At 38.9% G+C, this 20,734-nt stretch overlaps 1 protein-coding gene and 1 pseudogene across 2 annotated transcripts in view; both read right to left on the bottom strand.

Annotated features, from left to right (window-relative positions):
- Window positions 1–20,734, bottom strand: part of SLC30A9 (solute carrier family 30 member 9) — a 99,932-nt gene that overhangs the window by 45,729 nt on the left and 33,469 nt on the right. For both annotated transcript variants that reach the window (NM_006345.4, XM_047449525.1), the window contains exons 7-8: window positions 9,400–9,458; window positions 5,680–5,747 (exon numbers count right to left, since the gene is read on the bottom strand). In NM_006345.4, coding sequence (NP_006336.3) covers window positions 5,680–5,747; window positions 9,400–9,458 — 127 coding nt within the window. The remainder of the gene's footprint in view (window positions 1–5,679; window positions 5,748–9,399; window positions 9,459–20,734) is intronic.
- ATP1B1P1 (ATPase Na+/K+ transporting subunit beta 1 pseudogene 1) lies at window positions 13,469–15,665 on the bottom strand (annotated as a pseudogene).

Here is a 20,734-nt window from a genome sequence, read left to right as displayed (position 1 = left end):
TCTGTAGATGTCTATTAGTCTGCTTGGTCCAGAGCTGAGTTCAAGTCCTGAATATCCTTGTTAATTTTCTGTCTTGTTGATCTGTCTAATATTGACAATGAGGGGTTAAAGTGTCCCACTATTCCTGTGTGGGAGTCTAAGTCTCTTTGTAGGTCTCTAAGAACTTGCTTTATGAATCTGGGTGCTCCTCTATTGGGTGCATATATATTTAGGACAGTTAGCTCTTCTTGTTGCATTGATCCCTTTACCACTATGTAATGACCTTTGTCTTTTTTGATCTTTGTCGGTTTAAAATCTTTTTTGTCAGAGACTAGGATTGCAACCCTGCTTTTTTTTTTTTTTTTTTGCTTTCCATTTACTTGGTAAATATTCCTCCATTCCTTTATTTTGAGCCTATGTGTGTCTTTGCACGTCAGATGGGTCTCCTGCATGCAGCACACCAATGGGTCTTGACTCTTTATCCAATTTGCCAGTCTGTGTCTTTTAACAGGGGCATTTAGCCTGTTTCTATTTAAGGTTAATATTGTTATGTGTGAATCTGATCCTGTCATTATGATGCTAGTTGGTTATTTTGCTCATTAGTTGATGCAGTTTCTTTATAGTGTCAATGGTCTTTACAATTTGGTATGTTTTTGCAGTGGCTGGTACCAGTTTTTCCTTTCCATATTTAGTACTTCCTTCAGGAGCTCTTGTAAGGCAGGACTGGTGGTTATAAAATCTCTCAATATTTGCTTGTCTTTTCTTCTCCTTCGCTTATGAAGCTTAGTTTGGCTGGATATGAAATTCTGGGTTAAAAATTCTTTTCTTTAAGAATGTTGAATATTGGCCCCCACTCTCTTCTGGCTTGTAGGGTTTCTGCAGAGAGATCTGCTGTTAGTCTGGTGGGCTTCCCTTTGTGGGTAACCCGACCTTTCTCTCTGGCTGCCCTTAACATTTTTTCCTTCATTTCAACCTTGGTGAATCTGATGATTATGTGACTTGAGGTTGCTCTTCTCGAGGACTGTCTTTGTGGTGTTCTCTGTATTTCCTGAATTTGAATATTAGCCTGTCTTGCTAGGTTGGGGAAGTTCTCCTGGATAATCTCCTGAAGAGTGTTTTCCAACTTGGTTCCATTCTCCCAGTCACTTTCAGGTACACCAACCAAATGTGGGTTTGGTCTTTTCACATAGTCCCATCTTTCTTGCAGGCTTTGTTCATTCTTTTTCATTTTTTTCTCTAATCTTACCTTTATGCTTTATTTCATTAAGTTGATCTTCAATCTCTTATATCCTTTCTTCCACTTGATTGATTTGGCTATTGATACTTGTGTATGCTTCACAAAGTTCTCATGCTGTGTTTTTCAGCTCCATCAGGTCATTTATGTTCTTCTCTAAACTGGTTATTCTAGTTAGCAATTTCTCTTACCTTTTTTCAAGGTTCTTAGCTTTCTTGCGTTGGGTTGGAACATGCTCCTTTAGCTTGGAGGAGTTTGTTATTACCCACTTTCTGAAGCCTACTTCGTCAAACTCATTCTCCGTCCAGTTTTGTTCCCTTGCTGGCGAGGAGTTGTGATCCTTTGGAGGAGAAGAGGTGTTCTGGTTTTTGGAATTTTCAGCCTTTTTGCACTGGTTTTTCCTCATCTTCATGGATTTATCTACCTTTGGTCTTTGATGTTGGTGACTTTTGGATGGGGTTTTTGTGTGGACATCCTTTTTGTTGATGTTGATGCTATTCCTTTCTGTTTGTTAGTTTTCTTTCTAACAGTCAGGCCTCTCTGCTGCAGGTCTGCTGGAGTTTGCTGGAGGTCCACTCCAGACCCTGTTTACCTGGGTATCAACAGCAGGGGCTGCAGAACAGCAAACATTGCTGCCTGTTCCTTCCTCTGGAAGCTTCATCCCAGAGGAGCACCTGCCAGATGTCAGCTGGAGCTCTCCTGTATGAGGTGTCTGTTGATCCCTGCTGGGAGGTATCTCCCCATCAGGAGGCATGGGGGTCAAGGACCCACTTGAGGAGGCAGTCTGTCCCTTAGCAGACCTCGAGCGCTGTGCTGGGAGATCCGCTGCTCTCTTCAGAGCCAGCAGACAGGAACGTTTAAGTCTGCTGAAGCTGCGCCCACAGCCGCCCCTACCCCCAAGTTTTCTGTCCCAGAGAGATGAGAGTTTTATCTATAAGCCCCTGACCGGGACTGCTGGGCCTTTCTTTCAGAGATGCCCTGCCCAGAGAGAAGAAATCTAGAGAGGCAGTCTGGCTACAGTGGCTTTGCTGAGCTACGGTGGGTTCTGTCCAGTTCGAACTTCCTGATGGCTTTGTTTACACTGTGAGGGGAAAACTGCCTACTCAAGCCTCAGTAATGGTGGTCCCCAACCCCCAACTCCCCAACACACACCAAACTCAAGCATCCCATGTCAACTTCAGACAGCTGTGCTGGCAGCCAGAATTTCAAGCCAGTGGATCTTAGCTTTCTGGGCTCTCTGGAGGTGGGATCTGCTGAGCTAGACCACTTAGCTCCCTGGTTTCAGCCCCCTTTCCAAGGGATTAAAAGGTTCTGTCTCACTGGCATTCGAGGCACCACTGGAGTATGAAAAAAAACTAGTCTAGCTAGCTTGGTGTCTGCCCAAATGGCCGCCCAGTTTTGTGCTTGAAACCCAAGGCCCTGGCGGTGTAGGCACCCGAGGGAATCTCCTGGTCTGTGGGTTGTGAAGACCATGGGAAAAGCGTAGTATCTGGGCTGGAATGCACCGTTCCTCACAGCACAGTCCCTCATGGCTTCCCTTGGCTAGGGGAGGGAGTTCCCCGACCCCTTGCACTACCCCGGTGAGGCAATGCCCCACCCTGCTTCGGGTCACCCTCCATGGGCTGCACCCACTGTCTGACCAGTCCCAATGAGATGAGCCAGGTACCTCAGCTGGAAATGCAGAAGTTATCCACCTTCTGCATGGATCTCACTGGGAGCTGCAGACAGGATCTGTTCCTATCCAGCCATCTTGCCCGCCACCCCCTAGCTGGCTATTTATTTTTTAAAGACAGGGTCTTGTTCTTGCCCACGTTGGAGTGCAGTGGTATAATCACAGCTTACTGTAGCCTTAAACTCCTGGGCTCAAATGATTCTCCTGCCTCAGCTTCCTGAGTAGGTCTACAGGCGCACATCACCCACCATGCCCAGCTAATTAAAAAAATTTTTTTGTAGGTACAAGGTCTCACTATGTTGCCCAAGGTGGTCTGAAATTCCTGAGCTCAAGTAATCCTCCTGCTTCAGCCTCCCAAAGTGCTGAGATTCCAGGTGTGTGCCTGTACCAGGCCTGCTATTTCCTTAAAACATGTGTGCCTGTAGTCCCAGCTACTCAGGAGGCTGAGGCAAGGAGAATCGCTTGAACCTGGGAGGCGGAGGTTGCAGTGAGCCGAGATTGCACCACTGCACTCCAGCCTGGCGACAGAGTGAGATTCCGTCTCACAAAAAAAAAACAAACGCTTCTTCCCTTGGCTTTCTTGACACTCCTTGATATGGTTTGGCTCTGTGTCTCCCACAAAATCTCATCTTGTAGCTCCTATAATTCCCACATGTTTTGGGAGGGACGCAGTGGGAGATGACTGAAGCATGAGGGTGGGTCTTTCCCATGTTGTTCTTGTGATAGTGAATGAGCTCATGAGATGTGATGGTTTTTAAAAATGGGAGTTACCCTGCACAAGCTCTATTTGCCTGCTGCCATCCATGTAAGACATAACTTGCTCCTCCTTGCCTTCCACCATGATTGTGAGGCTTCCCTAGCCACGGGAACTGTAAGTCCAATTAAACCTCTTTCTTTTGTAAATTGCCCAGTCTTGGGTATGTCTTTATCAGCAGCGTGAAAATGGACTAATACACTCCTGGTTTTCTTTCTACTTTTCTCCTTACTCCTCCTCAATCTCCTCTGCAGGCACTTTTTCCTCCACCTTTTTCTTTTTCTTTTTTTTTTTTTTTGAGACAGAGTCTGGCTCTGTCGCCCAGACTGGAGTGCAGTGGCGCAATCTTGGCTCACTGCAAGCTCCACCTCCCGGGTTCACACCATTCTCCTGCCTCAGCCTCTCAAGTAGCTGGGACTACAGGCGCCCACCACTACGCCCAGCTAATTTTTGTATTTTTAGTAGAGACGGGGTTTCACCGTGTTAGCCAGGATGGTCTCAATCTCCTGACCTCGGATCACGAGGTCTCCCAAAGCCTCCACCTTTTTCTTAATGTTAACATTCTTCAAGGAATTTTTCCTGAGGACTTTTTATTCCTGATACTATATATACATACATTCCTCAGGTGATCTTTACTTTTATGGCTTTAGTTATCATCTATATACTAAAAACTATCAAACCTCTAACTCAGATTTCTCTCCTGAGCTTCAGACCAATATATATTAACAATAATACTTCTTAAGTACATATCTTAGAGCAGGTACTATGTTAAGCACTTTTCACACATACATCCCTCCAATGAGAAAAGCTATAATCACTATCCCTGTATTACTGGTGGAAAGAACCCTGTTGACTTATCTCCACCTGGGTGCCCTAAACATACCACCAGCTCAAAAATGAACTCATCATTTTCTCTGCTCCCACCCTGCTCCTCCTTCCAGTACTCTCCTCAGTGAATGGTACATTATTTACACAATTGTACAGCCAGAAACCTGGTCACTATCCTTGAACATACCTTCTAAGAAGTTGAAACTGTCTACGTCTATCTGTACCACCACTATTGTAGTTATGACAGCATTATTCCTTGTCTGTATTATAAATGTCTTCCTCTAGTTTAGTGTCCCTCCAATCCTTAAAGAATTATGTATTATATCTTTATATTTTCATATCCTATCACACTGATACATATTTTACATATATATATTTAAGAATAAAAGAACTAATGAATTATTGAATGATTTCATCCATCCTAAAATAGATTAGTCAGAAAAACAGACAAAAGGTGAACAAAACAATAGGAATCAAGAAGATAGAGGGAAAAAGGGGAAGGCAAGGCCGGGCTCAGTGGCTCACACCTGTAATCCCAGCACTTTGGGAGGCCGAGGTGGGCAGATCACGAGGTCAGGAGATTGAGACCATCCTGGCCAACGTAGTGAAACCCCATCTCTACTAAAAATACAAAAATTAGCTGGGCATGATGGCGCGCACCTATAATCCTAGCTACTTGGGAGGCTGTTGCAGGAGAATGGCTTGAACCCGGGAGGCAGAGATTGCAGTGAGCTGAGATTGAGCCACTGCACTCCAGCCTGGCGACAGAGCAAGACTCTGTCTCAAAAAAAAAAAAAAAGAGGAGGCAAAAATAACAAGAACAAATAATTATGTTCTTCCAAGATAAGTGGAATAAAGATAATAAGCACAAAGATATTCTTCAGTAGCTGTAACCCAGGTTGGTTTAGCTAACTTCTTTAAAAAAGACTTCTATCAACTCCAATAAAAACAAGAAAGGATTTTCAGGTAGCAACTATTCTTAGATCTAACTACATCAAAAATATACAGAGAATGAGCATGGTTATCTATATGAATTCATGCTCTTTCCCCACCACTTTACTGACAATAATAAAGACTTATTCAATTTCCTCCTAAAACAAAATAAACCTCAAACTCTATAGCTAGCTACCATGTAATAAATTTACATATTTAAGGATATACATATTTAAAAGAATATATTCTATTTCACAAAGCTTATTTTTCAGTACTTACATGCAAATTGCAACCATCACCACTTTTCCTGGTCCCTTAAAAAACACTGATGCTGTTCTGGAGCGTGGCTGTAAAAAAACAAAAACTTTTTTTAATACCTCCAAAATTTTGCAGAGAAGCACTGTAACTGGTGGCTTTGACAGACCAGAACATTTTCCTCTATCAAAACTTCTGAATTAGATTTACTTATTTTTCTCTAGAAGTTCTTGTTTAGAAAGTGGAAAGATTAAAACCGAAAGCATATCTGGGTCTCTTTCCAGAAACTTGTTTGTTTTGTTTCCTTGTAATTCATGTCCTGCCTACTTCCAGAAAGGATCTGAGCTGGCTACATAAAAACTAGTAATAAAGTAGAAAAATGCACTGTGCTGAAATTCATATGCTCTAAGAATGTGTGAAATCAGACACCCAAAATTCTGTATTGACCTGCCTTCAGAGCTAAGAGAAGGAACTACACAGGGATAAACCTTGTCCATGTGATCTCAACTTTTACTTCGATTTGTAAGCCATAAACTCTGACTATGGGTCTAGATTTCTGAATTATACTGTTTATTGATAACAAACAGAATGTATGTTTTATTAAAATAAGAATATATTGTATTATTTGGATGAATAGAGAAAAAACTCAATGAAATTATTATGGGAACAATAGAATGCTGCTTACGGTGAAAAATAAGATTTCTTTAGAAGAAAGGTTTGGGAACTCATGGGAGGGGCAAAACAGGGAAAGGAAATGAGATCTTTAAGATCAGAATAAGAAATAATAAGAAAAATAAGGAAAAAGATTCACTCGGCCCAAACCACTCTAATAAAGAAGGCTGTAGAAAACGGGAAGATGTGTTGGTAGAAACTAGAAATAATGATAAGGTCCAAGGAACTCTAACAAGAGAATAAAAATCTAGAAAAACAAGAGATCACAAGGAGCCAGGATCCACAACCTGCTTGGGAAGCTTCCTGTAAAAGCTACTCAAAAATTCCATAATCAGGTCGGGCGCAGTGGCTCACGCTTGTAATCCTAGCACTTTGGGAGGCCAAGATGGGCAGACTGCTTGAGCTCAGGAGTTTGAGACCAGTGTGGACAACATGGTAAAACCCCGTCTCTACTAAAATACAAAAAAATCAGCCGGCTGTGGTAGTGGGTGCCCGTAATCCCAGCTACTCAGGAGGCTGAGGCATGAGAATCTCTTGAACCCGGGAGGCGGAGGTTGCAGTGAGCTGAGATCGTGGGCAACACAGCAATACTCTGTCTCAAAAATAAAATAAAATAAAATATTAAAAAATTCCATAATCAGAGCAATTGGAGAACTGCCCCTTTTTGAAGACCAGGACAGCAAAATGTTAGAAATTAATGAAACTGGATAGCCAATATCTATTTTTCTATTTTTATATATCTTTGAGAACATTCACAATAAACAAGGTTCTTTAATATTGGGACAAGTGCAGAAAATTTGGATAGATTTCAGAGAGAACTACCAGGAAAAGGAGCATAAATTGTTCAAAGCATTATTGGTGCATTTCAAGGTGATACTATTGTGGAGTTAAATATATTAAGCAGAGATAAAGGTACTTCCAATTCTCTGAAGTACTATATCAAGAAACCCATGAATTAGAAATAGAAGGGAAGGCATGGGAAAGTAGAAAGGTATTAAAGGGGAAATTATTATATAAGAAATTAAATACCAGAGGAGCAGACCCAGAACACTGTGATTTCATATATCTCATTATTGGAGTTCTCATGAGATAAGAATATATTGGAAAAACAAGTGTCTGGGTCAGAAATAACAAAAAAAAAAAAAAAAAAAAAAAAAAAAAAAAAAGAAGGCATTTAATTTTTGCAAACAGGATTAGCCCTATGTTTTAGAGAAGGAAAGCAACCATCTTCAGTGAGAGAACAACCATTCCTAAAGGGAATAGGGGTACAGTAGAGGGAAATGAAATACTAGTTTTATCCTAATGTCCCAGCAAAAAAACGTTGTAATAGCAAAAAAAAATCATTTCAAAACATGGAATATTCAAAAGTTGACCAGTATTAATCTTCTGAAGTAACAAAGATTTCATAAGTCAACAGCTACTATTAGAAAATCTGGTGAGGATGATTCTCCATGTGAAACAGATGTGAAGGCGAGGAGTGAATCTTCCCAGGAGGCAGGTCTCACCAGCCTAAGTTATCCCAGCACAAGAGGCAATGGCAATAGCCCTTGAGGCATGAGAGTGAAAATGCTGGCTCATAAGACATATGAAGGCTCTACCAGAGGAGAGTCCACATCTTCAGGGCAGTACTGGGGTGCCAGAAATGCAGTGATCAAAGGGGAAATGGAAATTAAGAGGTCTTGAAGATAATAAATGGAAAAGGAAAGCATATCAAATAAGATTTGGCTAAAATTATCATCACTGCCAATGTCTAAACTTTGCAAAATGGGTGCAATGTCTCAAATGCCACCAGAGAGAAGAAAATGTGCATAGGTAGCCTTTTATCCAAATATGACATTAACTTCTTGATAGGAGATTCCTCCCAGCCAAGTTTAAATGGAAAGTCAACTTGGCCACAGACTGCTTGGCATCTTAAAGGTGCTGGGGACTTTGGTAAGTCATTTCAGTGGGGTGGTGGGGTTGAAAGCCCAATTGGATTAGGTTCAGGAGAAAATAAGAGGTAGAACAGTAGAGGCAAACTTTCTACATGTGTCCCAATATTAATTTCCTTCTAGTAGGAAGGAAAGCAGAGTATTTTGTCACATGTGTAGATGAGTTAGTAAATTTGGTGATGAAAAGATGAGGTGATGAAAAAGATGAGGTACTTTTATGAAATTACACCTATTTTTTCAATAAAATATGAAGCAAAGTCAACAGCTGAAGAGTAAAGAGTGAGGCTGTTGGCAAGAAAGAAAAAGATATGCAATAGCTATTTCAAAGAGTGGGAAGGTGAACATACTCTGGAAGTTTAGTAAGACTGTCAAATAATATTGAGTATCCATTGATTTTGTATAGTCATATAAGGAAGAAAGAACAATCACACTGGCTGTGTAATTTTCTTCTCCAAGGGCTAAGCTTCTTGGATACAAGCACAGAGTTGGCAGTCTGAATGTTGAACCAGAGTTAGGAGCAGAAAGAGAGAGGCTAAAGAAAATTAAGAGTGTGTATGACGGATATAAATCTCACTAAAACCTAAGAAAATAAAGTCTTCCTCATCTATATCTACATGCTTAAGGTTCATAACATGGTTATGACTTTAAAGAAAACTTATGTACAAATGTTTTAAATTTCAAGAAAATCAGGCCGGGCACGCTTGTAATCCCAACACTTTGGGAGGCCGAGGCAGGCGCATCACCTGAGGTCAGGAGTTCAAGACCCACCTAGCCAACATGGTGAAACTCTGTCTCTACTAAAAACACAAAAATTAACTGGGCATGGTGGCATGCCTGTGGTCCCAGCTGCTCGGGAGGCTGAGGCAGGAGAATTGCTCAAACCCGGGAGGCGGAGATTGCAGTGAGCCGAGATTACACTACTGCACTCCAGCCTGGGCAACAAGAGCAAAACTCTGTCTCAAAAAAAAAAAAAAAGGAAAATCAGACGGAAATGAATGAATTGACTATAATTCAGTGAACTACAATGTACTCAAGAAAATCTTAGATTGAGATCACAGACATGCTAGAATTTTACAATGGACTGATATTAGAATTTTGCTGTGCAACACAAACACACACATTATTACAAAGATATCCATACCTTGGTATTTCCCAAGAAATCTCTGTATTCTCTTAATATTTTTTGGTTTCTAAATAGCCCTGTAAGAATAACAAAATAAATTTAGGTCATAGATATTCTTACCAGTCACAGTTTAGATGAACATGATATTCTCTTCAGGACTATGTTAAATATGCGCTACTAGCTAACAGCAAAAATATTAAGTTATAAAAAATTTGGATTTGTAAACTGATTAAAAAATGGGGAGAGGATTTCAATAGACATTTCTCCAAAGATTATATAGAAACCACCAACAAGCATATGGAAAGATACTCAACATCACTAATCATCAGAGAAATACATATGAAAACCACAATGAGATATCACCTCACATCCATTAGGATGGCTACTATTAAAAAAACAAGAAACAGAAAATAACAAGGATTGGCAATGTGTCAAAACTGGAACCTTTTTGCACTGATGGTAGGAATGTAAAATGGTGCAATTGTTATGGAAAAAAATATGAAGGTTCCTAAAAAAAACTGTAACATAGAATTACCATATAATCCAGCAATCCTACTTCTGGACATACGTCCAAAGAATAGCAAGTGGGGCCTCAAAAAGCTATTTACATGCCCATGTTCATAGCAGCAGTACTCACAACAGTCAAGAGGTGAAGCAACCCAAATGTCCATGGATGGATGAATGAATGGATAAACAAAATGTGGTATATACATATGATGATGGAGTATTATTTAGCCTTGAAAAAGGAAATCCTGTCACATGCAACAACATGGATAAACCTTGACGACACTATGCTAAGTGAAATAAGCCCATCTCAAAAGGACATACACTGTATGACTCCACTTATATGAGGTATCTAAAGTATTCAAATTAATAGAAACAAAAAGCAGAATGGTGGTTGCCAGGGACCGGGGGGTGGCAGGGAAATGGGGGGTAGTTATTTAATGGGTATAGTGTTTCAGTTTTGCAATATGAAAAACCTCTGAAGATCTGTTTCACAACAATGTGAATATACTTACACACTTATGAACTGTACCTTTAAAAATGGTTAAGATGGTAAATTTTGGGCTATGTGTTTTTTACAATAAAAAAGGAGGCAGGAAAATCTGGATTTGCAATGAGATAAAGACAGTTTGGTAAGATTCTTTTCTCAATATTACCTTTATAAAAGTTAACTAAGCCTGATACAAAAACAAGTCCTTCATTTTTACCTCAAAGTTGAAAAATATGAGAGAGTATTTTTCTATTACTGTGTTTTCTCAAATTTTTGTATTACAAAAAATTCTTTTAACTTTTATTTACAAGGCTTCTCATGGTATCGTTTTAATAGCAAAACACTAGAAACGTCCTATGGGGGAATGATTGAATACATTACGGTATATCAAAAAACAGAGTATTATAAAATAAATGAAGAAATGTCTCTATTTACCGCTATAGCATAGTCCTCATGACAGAGTTAAGTAAAAAAAGCAAGAGCAGCCGGGCACGGTGGCTCATGCCTGTAATCCCAGCACTTTGGGAGGCCAAGGCGGGTGGATCACAAGGTCAGATCATCGAGACCATCCTGGCTAACATGGTGAAACCCCGTCTCTACTAAAAATACAAAAAATTAGCCAGGCATGGTGGCATGTGCCTATAGTCCCAGCTACTTGAGAAGTTGAGGCAGGAGAATTGCTTGAACCCAGGAGGCGGAGGTTGCAGTGAGCCAAGATCGTGCCACTGCACTCCAGCCTGGGCCACAGAGCGAGACTCCGCCTCAAAAAAAAAGCAAGACCAGAAAGTATGTATAGTATGCCTTATTTATGAAGGGTATGGCGTTTAATACAAATGTGTACGTTTTTTTAAAAAATATTATTTTTATTTTTAAATTTTTGGTAAGGAAAATGGTCTCGCTAATGTTGCCCAGGCTGGTCTCAAACTCCTGGTCTCAAGTGATCCTCCCACCTCAGCCTCCCAAAGTCCCGGGATTATAGGCATGAGCCATGGAGCCTGGCTTTATTTTCTTATATTTTAAGTATTAAAAAAAAAACCCAAAAACTTTAAAACAGTTACTTATACAAGAGAGAGGACTTAGAGTGGAAAGGACAGAGATGGAAGCTAGAGTTCTCTGAAATATCTGTTCTGTAGGTTTGACTAAGAAATCATGTAAATTTTTAGGCAATTATAAAATAAAAACAAAATTATTTTTAAAAATCAGAAGCAAAATGAAACAAATGAGCCTAACTGTATATCTACTGATGATATTTCTATATAGAAAAATTTTAAGTGACTTTAACACACAGAAATTGAACTATACATCTCTAGTGGGATATATATACTAAAGATACAAAGAAAAGCAAAGAAATCTTAAATTACATTGTTAGTATTAATACTGCTATTTGAAACTACACTTTATTCTCTATGTGTGTAGAGACATAGAATAAATCAAGTATGTAATTACTTTAACTTGATTTTATTTTCCAGTAAAAAGAAAAGTGGCTCCTTTTAGAAATAGTTGATTACCAACCCAGGACAGGAAACGTACAAGATGAATCTGAAACATATTATTCCTGAAAGTAAGGACGCCATGATACTAGAGTTATGACAAAGGGACTTAGGAGCCAACTGAGGTGCTTCCATTGACCAACATTAGGACAGTTTGAGCACTGCTACTTTGTTCTTTCCTTGCATATCTTCTTCTCCCTCTTCCCTCTTCCTTGATCTTCCTATCCCACTGCTCCCCTCCTGGTAATGAACTCCTATACTCTCAAGAAACTCCCTCCATCCCTTTTCTTCCTGGGTTATTGACCATAATTGTCTCACAATTTCCACTTTGAAATTTTGCCAACTCATCTGGAGAAGGAAATATTGTCATTTCTAAGCCTTGGTCCTGTGCAGAACTGAGATAGTCAAATAATTTAGAATCCTCCTAAATATTTATACTCCAAGGCTTCTAGTTACATCCTTCCAGTTTCATAGCTTCTTTCCAGGTTACTAATAACAAAAATAAATAAAATGGGGTGGAATCCTAACGAAACCATTGAAATAGGGTTGGCAAACTTTTTTCGAAGAGGGCTGGTGACATGGTTTGGACCTGTGTCCCCATCCAAATCTCATGTCAAATTGAAATCCAATTGTTGGAGGTGGGGCCTGGTGGGGGGGTAACTGGGTCATGGGGGTGAATTCTCATGAATGATTTAGCAATATCCCTCTTGGTACTGTCCTCACGACTGGTGAGTTCGTTCTCATGAGATCTGGTCATTTAAAAGTGTGAGGCACCTCCCCCATCTCTCTCTTGCTCCTGCTATGTAAGATACCTGTTCCATCTTTGCCTTCCGCCAAGACTGGAAGCTTCCTGAGGCTCCCCAGAAGCTTCTATGCTTTCTATACAGCCTGCAGAACTGTGAGCTAATTAAACCTCTTTTCTTTATAAATCACCCAGTCTCAGGTATTTCTTTATAGCAATACGAGAACTGACTAAACAGCTAGATAGCAAATATTTCATGCTTTGGAGGCCAAGAGGTAATATAAAGGACATGATGAAGGTATAGCAAGAAATAACTACAAATTTCCATGAAATTTTTTGACAAAATTTAAAATATAATAAAAATATGTGAGTGCAATTCTTTGTAATACAGGTCTACTAATGAGAAGAACAGAATTCTTTTTGGGGGGATAGGATAAAATATTTCACTTAATTGGGATTCAGTTAGTATTCCTTATCATCAAAATTAATTGTAAATGTTCATCTATTGATGATGATCTGATATGTTACTATTTCATATTCAAAATCTTATAGATAGGTACTGCCAAATGCTGATATAAATCTATAAACATAATTTTAAATAACTATATTCATTGCTTTGAAAGCATTTATAGAATTCTATGAAATTCTTGTTGATATTTGCCTTTTAGCATCTTCTTACATTGACGACTAATCACTTCCAATTGAAGTCAGGAGAAAGCTGCTCAACTGCACTATTTAATGGATTTTGAAATATGTAAATTTCCTCTGCACTTGCATGGAAATCTGAAAAACACTTCTGGAACTATAGGTTGGGCTTGGAAAATATATCTGCTGCAGATGTCTTCTGTTTTTTTTTTTTCATGTATTCATTCTTTTATTGTCCATTGTTTTAACTTGACTGAATACATGATCAACAAGAGCACTGTACTCCTGGCAATTATTAGAACATGGACTTTGCATAGTAGAAAACATTTTACACCAGTCTATGGAGTACTGCATTGCTTTGTATAAAGTTCAAAATAAAGATTTATTTTCAAACAAGTGACTGTGGTTTATTTCATACACTACACTTTTTCTTGCAGAAAAAAATAAAACTGTACAACTGCATAAATAAAAAATTCTTCCACCATGAAAATGGTTAAAACACTCATAAAGACACACCATCAGCATGATGCCCCCAGAAAGGAAAAAAGGAAAGTAAAAGAAAATGTACAAAGCAAATTTATTAGGCCTGTCACTAGCCAAAGTGATGGGCAAATCCAGATCTCAGACACAGCTTTAGAACATACTAGAGGACAAGGGAAGAGATGTCAAGACAGCATTCAAAACAAGCACAACACAACCCATCACCTTTTTGTGTTTTTCTGTAGTGTCACTTAAAATTTAAAGGGCAGTTCCCCCATGACAAATCCCTGTCCCATTCCCAGGAGAAAAAATAATAATAAAGTAAGACCTAACACCACAGGAAAAGACTATAGAATATGTTAAAGATGCTCATTGATGGGCCATTATCTTTGAAAGAGCCCAAAAAAAAAAAAAAAAAAGACCATGCCAGTTTCATTCCCATTGAATATTTACACCTTGGACAGCAAAACCTGCTCACATAAAGTACAAAACAGATACGATAACACATGGCTTGAAAAAGGACCAGAGTATGCACCTATAGTACTATACATTAAATAAAATATAGGAGGCAATACTTAGGGGCCAGAAACACTGCTTACAAGTCACTTATGGAATCATAATTTACAGTAAAAATGAGCACATCCCAAGGCTCAATTTTTCTTTTGTCATTTACAGTAGAATATTTTGTTGCTATTGCTACACTTTAGTTTACATTAATTACATTCTAACCAATTAAATGCAGAAAGCAAGTGTAAAGCATATAGATTATGCTTTAAGTGTAGGTCCCATACATATGACAGTTTGTTCAAGACTAACAGGCTTTTGTATCTTTTTTTAAACTTATTAAATGGCTAGCGGGAAAGATTTGTGCTTGTGATCAGCTCTTAACTTCAATTTTTACATCAAAGGATCCCTGAAAACCATCTTTCTCACTGTGCCCAATGTTCTCACCATCTGCTTTACACTAGGCGAATTTCAGTGTCCATGGTAAGGTTGGTGAACTGTACAACAAGCAGAGGCTGCAGGTATTTGGGCTGCAGGAGTTTGCCATAGTAGGGATAATTCTGCAGAGGAAAACCAAGGTAGGTGCCCAGTCCAAAATACTCCACATTTCTATTTTTATCCTTATCTTCATCTTGCTAGCCAGTGCACTGAACAGGAAACACAGATGCGTTATACTTCATCACTGGGTAAGTCTCCAAGGACTCATTCTCGGGAGACTTAGGTTTGAAGCCTAGAACTCACTTGAGCTTTATAATAACATGTGGTTTGCCCTCTTCGTAGCTGTAAGTTTTGTCATTTAATCCAGAGCAATTTCCCAGCCACTCAAGCTTGAATCTGCAGACTTTCGCTCACCTCATTCTTGATTAAAGTCTCCTCGTTCTTTGGGTTCACTGGGCACATTGTCACAATTTTCAAAAATCATGTCATCCTTCTGGGCTGAATCTTTGTACTTTTCCAGGAACCTAACTACGTTCAGCACATATGCCTCACAGTGCTTGGGATCATTAGGATGAAAGGCAATTTCAGTCTGCTGGATCTGAGAAATCTGTGTTAATCCTGGTGGGGGTCCTGATATGTGGTTCTGATATGTGGGTTTAAATTCACTGATGGTGAGCAGCACCACTTGGATCATTCCGATGAAGATGCCAGTCAGGCAGCCATAAAATATTATGTAGAATAGAATGATCTTAAACCAACTGCCACCAGTCCTGCCTAAAAACTCCTTCTTCTCTGAGTTCCAGAAGAATTTCTTCCAACTGCCCTCCTCATTGGCTTTCCTGCAGGTCATGGCAACAGCGGGTCAGCAGCTGCCGCAGTCGGAAGGGTGGGTGGCTTCGGGGCACGCCCTCGTGTTCTCTGAGGTGTTGCTCATTGTCTCTGGCCTGGCTCTCCGCAGACAGGACACACCACTGCCACTGCGGATCTGAGTGCTTGTGTTAAACTTTTAACAGCATGGGAAGTACATAAAGCTGACTGACATTACTTTGATTCAAATAATGTATCTACTGTTGAAATGACTTCACAGCAGAGTAAGTTTTGTATTTAAGCACTGTTTTCCCCTGTAATTTTACACTGAATGCATTAAGAAAAATAACGTCTGCAGCAAAACCTAATTTTCTAAGCCACTCAGTGTTTGATAATAGTGGTTGACAGGTGGGTCTTCTTATTCAGAAAAATTTCCATTTTGAATTTTTCAATCCTGAGCTCAAAAAATGGCAGTAAAACTGCTAAACCACTGAAATGCAGTGTAGAAGGACAAGTCAGGATTATCAGCTTCTATTTCTTTCAGTGGTTAAGTCCACAAGTTCAAAGGTGATACTATTGGTTCAACAGCAAACAAGATTTAAGCATTTTCCACAAAGTTCCTACTCATGACAAATATTTTCTGGGAAGTATCTACTGATGAAAAGGCTTTAAATATCTTATGTTTTCACAAACTTTATAAATTTGTCCAACTAAGGCTTTTTCTGCTCCACATGTATTTTTACCACCATCATCTATATAAGACATCTTAGCAGATTCCACATCAGGTTTACTGAATTAGTATTTTCACATCTTCTTTGAAAATATTCTCACGTGGCTGGGCGCAGTGGCTCATGCCTATAATCCCAGCACTTTGAGAGGACAAGGAGGGAGGATCACAAGATCAGGAGATGGAGACCATCCTGGCTAACATGGTGAAACCCCATCTCTACTAAAAATACAAAAAAAATTAGCCGGGCATGGTAGCACGCACCTGTAATCCCAACTACTCGGGAGGCTGAGGCAGGAGAATCACTTGAACCCAGGAGGCGGAGGTTGCAGTGTGCTGAGATCATGCCACTGCACTCCAGCCTGGTGACAGAGTGAGACTCCGTCTCAAAAATAAAATAAAATAAAATAAATTCTTGCCTGTGGTTGCTCCACATACACTATTCACAAAGGGTAATTCTCCAGTCTCTTCAAACTCAGCACTCACTCCTCAAATAGTATTGGTACACAGGTCAACTTATCAAGAGCCAAGGAACATCATTCAAAATAATTTGCCTTGCTTTTTAATTGACTACTGATGTCTGTCCTCAGTGTCCTCAACTCTTGAAGCAACTAGTCTTGCCTAAAGACTACTAGTCCTGGATACATTTCTTCAGCTGCTTAAATTAAACAGGACTTAATTTACTTGCCATTAGAAACCCACTTTCTTTGCTTGACTAATAAGCCACTCAGAAACCAAACTTTGGTTGCAGCCTCATTTTCATTTTCTATTTTTGTGAACAAATTCTGCTGTAATATATTCCATCTTAAATTCTCTAGTTTTTCTGATTGTTACACTCCTGTGAGTTGGGAATACTGTGATGATTGATTAATCTAGTAATGTCAACATATATTGTATTCCTTTAACTCAGCTATGGTGTCACTGCATAGTAGACACAGTACTTTGCCATCTAATTCAATAAAAAATAATCCATGCTCAACTGTGACTTAAAAGCACAACACTAGATGTCTACTTTTCTTACTCACCAGACAGGTATGCACTCATACTAAAAAAAAAAAAGGTCATGTACAAGGATACCTATGACATTTGAAATACTGTTGAATTATAACTGTTACTGAATTGTAACTGAGTAGCAGTGCAAAGTGACAGGAGCACCACACGCAGTCTCTGTCGGAGCTACTCAACTCTGCTGTTGGTAGTGCAAAGGCAGCCACAGACAATATGTAAATAAAAGATCATGGCTACGTCCCAATAAAATTTTATTTGTGGACTCTGAAATTTAAATTTCATTTAATTTTCATCTGTCACAAAATATTGTTACTCTTTTGCTTTTTTGTCAGTCATTAAAAATATGAAAACCACTCTTGGCTTATAAACTATACAAAAACAGGCAGCAGACCAATTTGTTCCACGGGCCATAGTTAGCCAACTCTGGCTACTGAAGACAGATGCCGTAACACCGGCAAAAGTTATTTATTAAGAGCCAGGGACATAGGTTGTTGTAAGCTATCCAGGAAGCCATCCTCTATTAAAATTGATTACACTAAGATCCAAAACTATAAACAAAAAAAACCCCACAGAATTAATAGGTAAATTTAGAATTAGACTTCTAGAAATAAACAATTTGTGGACACTGACCCTGATGTAGAATGCCAAGGGACCCTTTATGCTCTCTTTGGTTAAAGGGCCTTAAATTAAAAATAGGGTGGTAAGAAAGATTAAAATGAACTGGCAGTTAGTTCACGTTGGAAAAACTAAATTGCAATGCACTGTCAAGAAACCAAAAGAGAAGATGAAAAGAAAAAAAAAAAGGAACAAACTTAGGGCTTTTAACAGCCATACAAGGCAAAATTTATTAACTTCTCAAACCCTAAGCAAGTGCAGTCCCTTTCTAATACTAATAAAAATCAGTGTCATTGATAAGAAGTAGGAACACTAAAAAATAAATTGTTCTATCAAACCAGAAAGGGAATAGCAGCAATGATATTCTTCTGAGAAACCTCACGATGCTTAATAAAATCTGTTAGTCGTTTAACAGATAACAATAAAGTCAGCCTGATTATCAAAGAAAAATATGTATACATTTTTCATAAATACTAGTACATCGATCTCTACTTTAATCCTGATACATTACCATATATAAGTGCCCAAGAGTAAAAGAACTATATAACTGCACTGGCAATATCTAATTCCCCAATGGAATATGCCCTATCTGATTGCATCCTGTGTTAGTACCTGTATTACCTATAAAGAAACTCAATGGAAACCATTAACTGAATAGTACACCAGAATTTCCAGGACTATCTGTCCCCAGTATGTATTTCTTCCATTGAAAGTAAATACTTCACTTCTGTTAATTTAAGTGCAGTCCTCTTTATAATATCTGTGGATTGTCAGCTAGACACGGTGGCACACACCTGTAGTCCTGGCTACTCAGGAAGCTGAGGCAGGAGGATCACTTGAGCCCAGGAGTTCAAGGCTATAATTCACTATGATTGCACCTGAGAATAGCCACTGTATTCCAGCCTGGGCAACATAGTGAGACCTCATCTCTTAAAAAAAAACAGATAATCGCCAGGTGCGGTGGCTCACGCCTGTAATCCCAGCACTTTGGGAGGCTGAGGTGGGCGGATGACGAGGTCAGGAGATCGAGACCACGGTGAAACCCTGTCTCTACTAAAAATACAAAAAATTAGTTGGGCGCGGTGGCGGGTGCCTGTAGTCCTAGCTACTTGGGAGGCTGAGGCAGGAGAATGGCATGAACCCGGAAGGCAGAGCTTACAGTGAGCTGAGATTGCGCCACTGCACTCCAGCCTGGGTGACACAGCAAGACTCTGTCTCGAAAAATAAAATAAAATAAAAATAATCAACAACTTTTTCTGAGGCCAAAAATCCTTTGATACTAGGATTCACTGTCTCCTTCAAACTTTTGAAAATGCCAAACCAATGATTTAAAGAACTTGGATTTTACAAGGAAAACTATACTTATTCAACAACTAGATGATTTAATATTATATATTCCAGGTCACACAAATATACTCCTTATTCCTCCTGACTAGGTTAGCTGAAAAGAGACATACTATTTTCAGTTTTGTCAAGAAAAGGAATCATCAACAGAAGGTCAATCACTTTCTTTGTCAGAATTAAAGCTATTTGAGAACATCCTAGACCTTCAACCAAAGGGCAAATGAGAGGATTACTAAGACTGACAGCTTACTACAGGCAATGGATAGTTAACTTTTCTAAAACAGTTCAACCATCACCATCACATGAACTGACTAAAACAAACATCCTGACCTTTTAATATATACTGGAATATTTATAAATAAAATGATATAATGTCTGGACCTGGTTTCAAAGTAATCCAGTAGAGTGAAGGTTAGTGAGAGGGATATACATTAAACAAGGCTGGCCATGTTGTTGGTAGCTGTAAAGCCAGATGATGGGCATTAAAAGGTTATTATGTTTTTCTCTGCACTTCTGAATATGTTTGAAATTTCCCTACTAAAAAGAGGAGAAACCAAATTTCAAGATAGACTGTTAGAAAATATTTAGAACATATGAAACTAACTTGGTTAGATTTTGGTTAAAATCCACCAAAAACTTATTTAAATCAATTTTAAGAGACACACAATCTAATAGAAAAGTGAACAAAACATATAAAAATTATTACAGAAGAACTAAGAAAAACCACTATACATAGAAGATAACCTCAGTAGTAGTCAGAGATATTCAAAATTAAACGAGGTACCATCTGTTGCCCATCAAATACACAAAAAAGTTAAAATCTTGTTAATATCCAGCATGGGCAAGGGTATGAAAAAATAGTCTCCCTCATACACTGTGATTGTAAATGTAAATTGGTACCATATTTCCTTCAGAGAGTAATTCTTTAGGATCTATCAAATTTTTAAATGCCTATGCCATTTGATCCTAAAATTGTATTATTAACACTCAATCCTATGTAAATATTCACAATTATCTCACGTTAAAAAAATAAAAATATTTATTGATGTATTCTTTCTAACAGTGAAAAACTGAAGAACATAAATCTTGCTACATCCATACAATGGGGTACTATACAACTGTTAAAAAGAATGAGGTAGATTTCTATATGTAGATATGGAAAACGGTTATGATTATACCACTATCTATAAAGAGCAAGATGTACAATATGTATGGTATCACCCCATTTATGTCTATGTTGCCCAGGGTGGTCTCAAACTCCTGGGCTCAAGTGATCCTCCCACCTCAGCCTCCTGAGTAGCTGGGATTACAGGCAAGTAGCTGGGACTATAGACATGTGCCACCACACCTGGCTCCTAAGAGTCTTACTTGCATATACATTTCAAACACCAAGCACAGCTTCTTGTTCATAGCGGGTATTGGATAAATATCTGCTGAATTAATTAATGTAGCTGAGTTAATAGACCCTTCTGTAAAAAAGTAATTGATATGATTTGGCTCTGTGTCCCCACCCAAATCTCATCTCGAATTATAATAGCCATAATCCCCATGTGCCGAGG

Source organism: Homo sapiens, chromosome 4 (assembly GCF_000001405.40).
Source record: "Homo sapiens chromosome 4, GRCh38.p14 Primary Assembly".
Taxonomy (NCBI): Eukaryota; Metazoa; Chordata; class Mammalia; order Primates; family Hominidae; genus Homo; species Homo sapiens.
The sequence above is the reverse complement of the archived record's forward strand: the minus strand, read 5'-3'. Positions and strand labels throughout refer to the sequence as shown.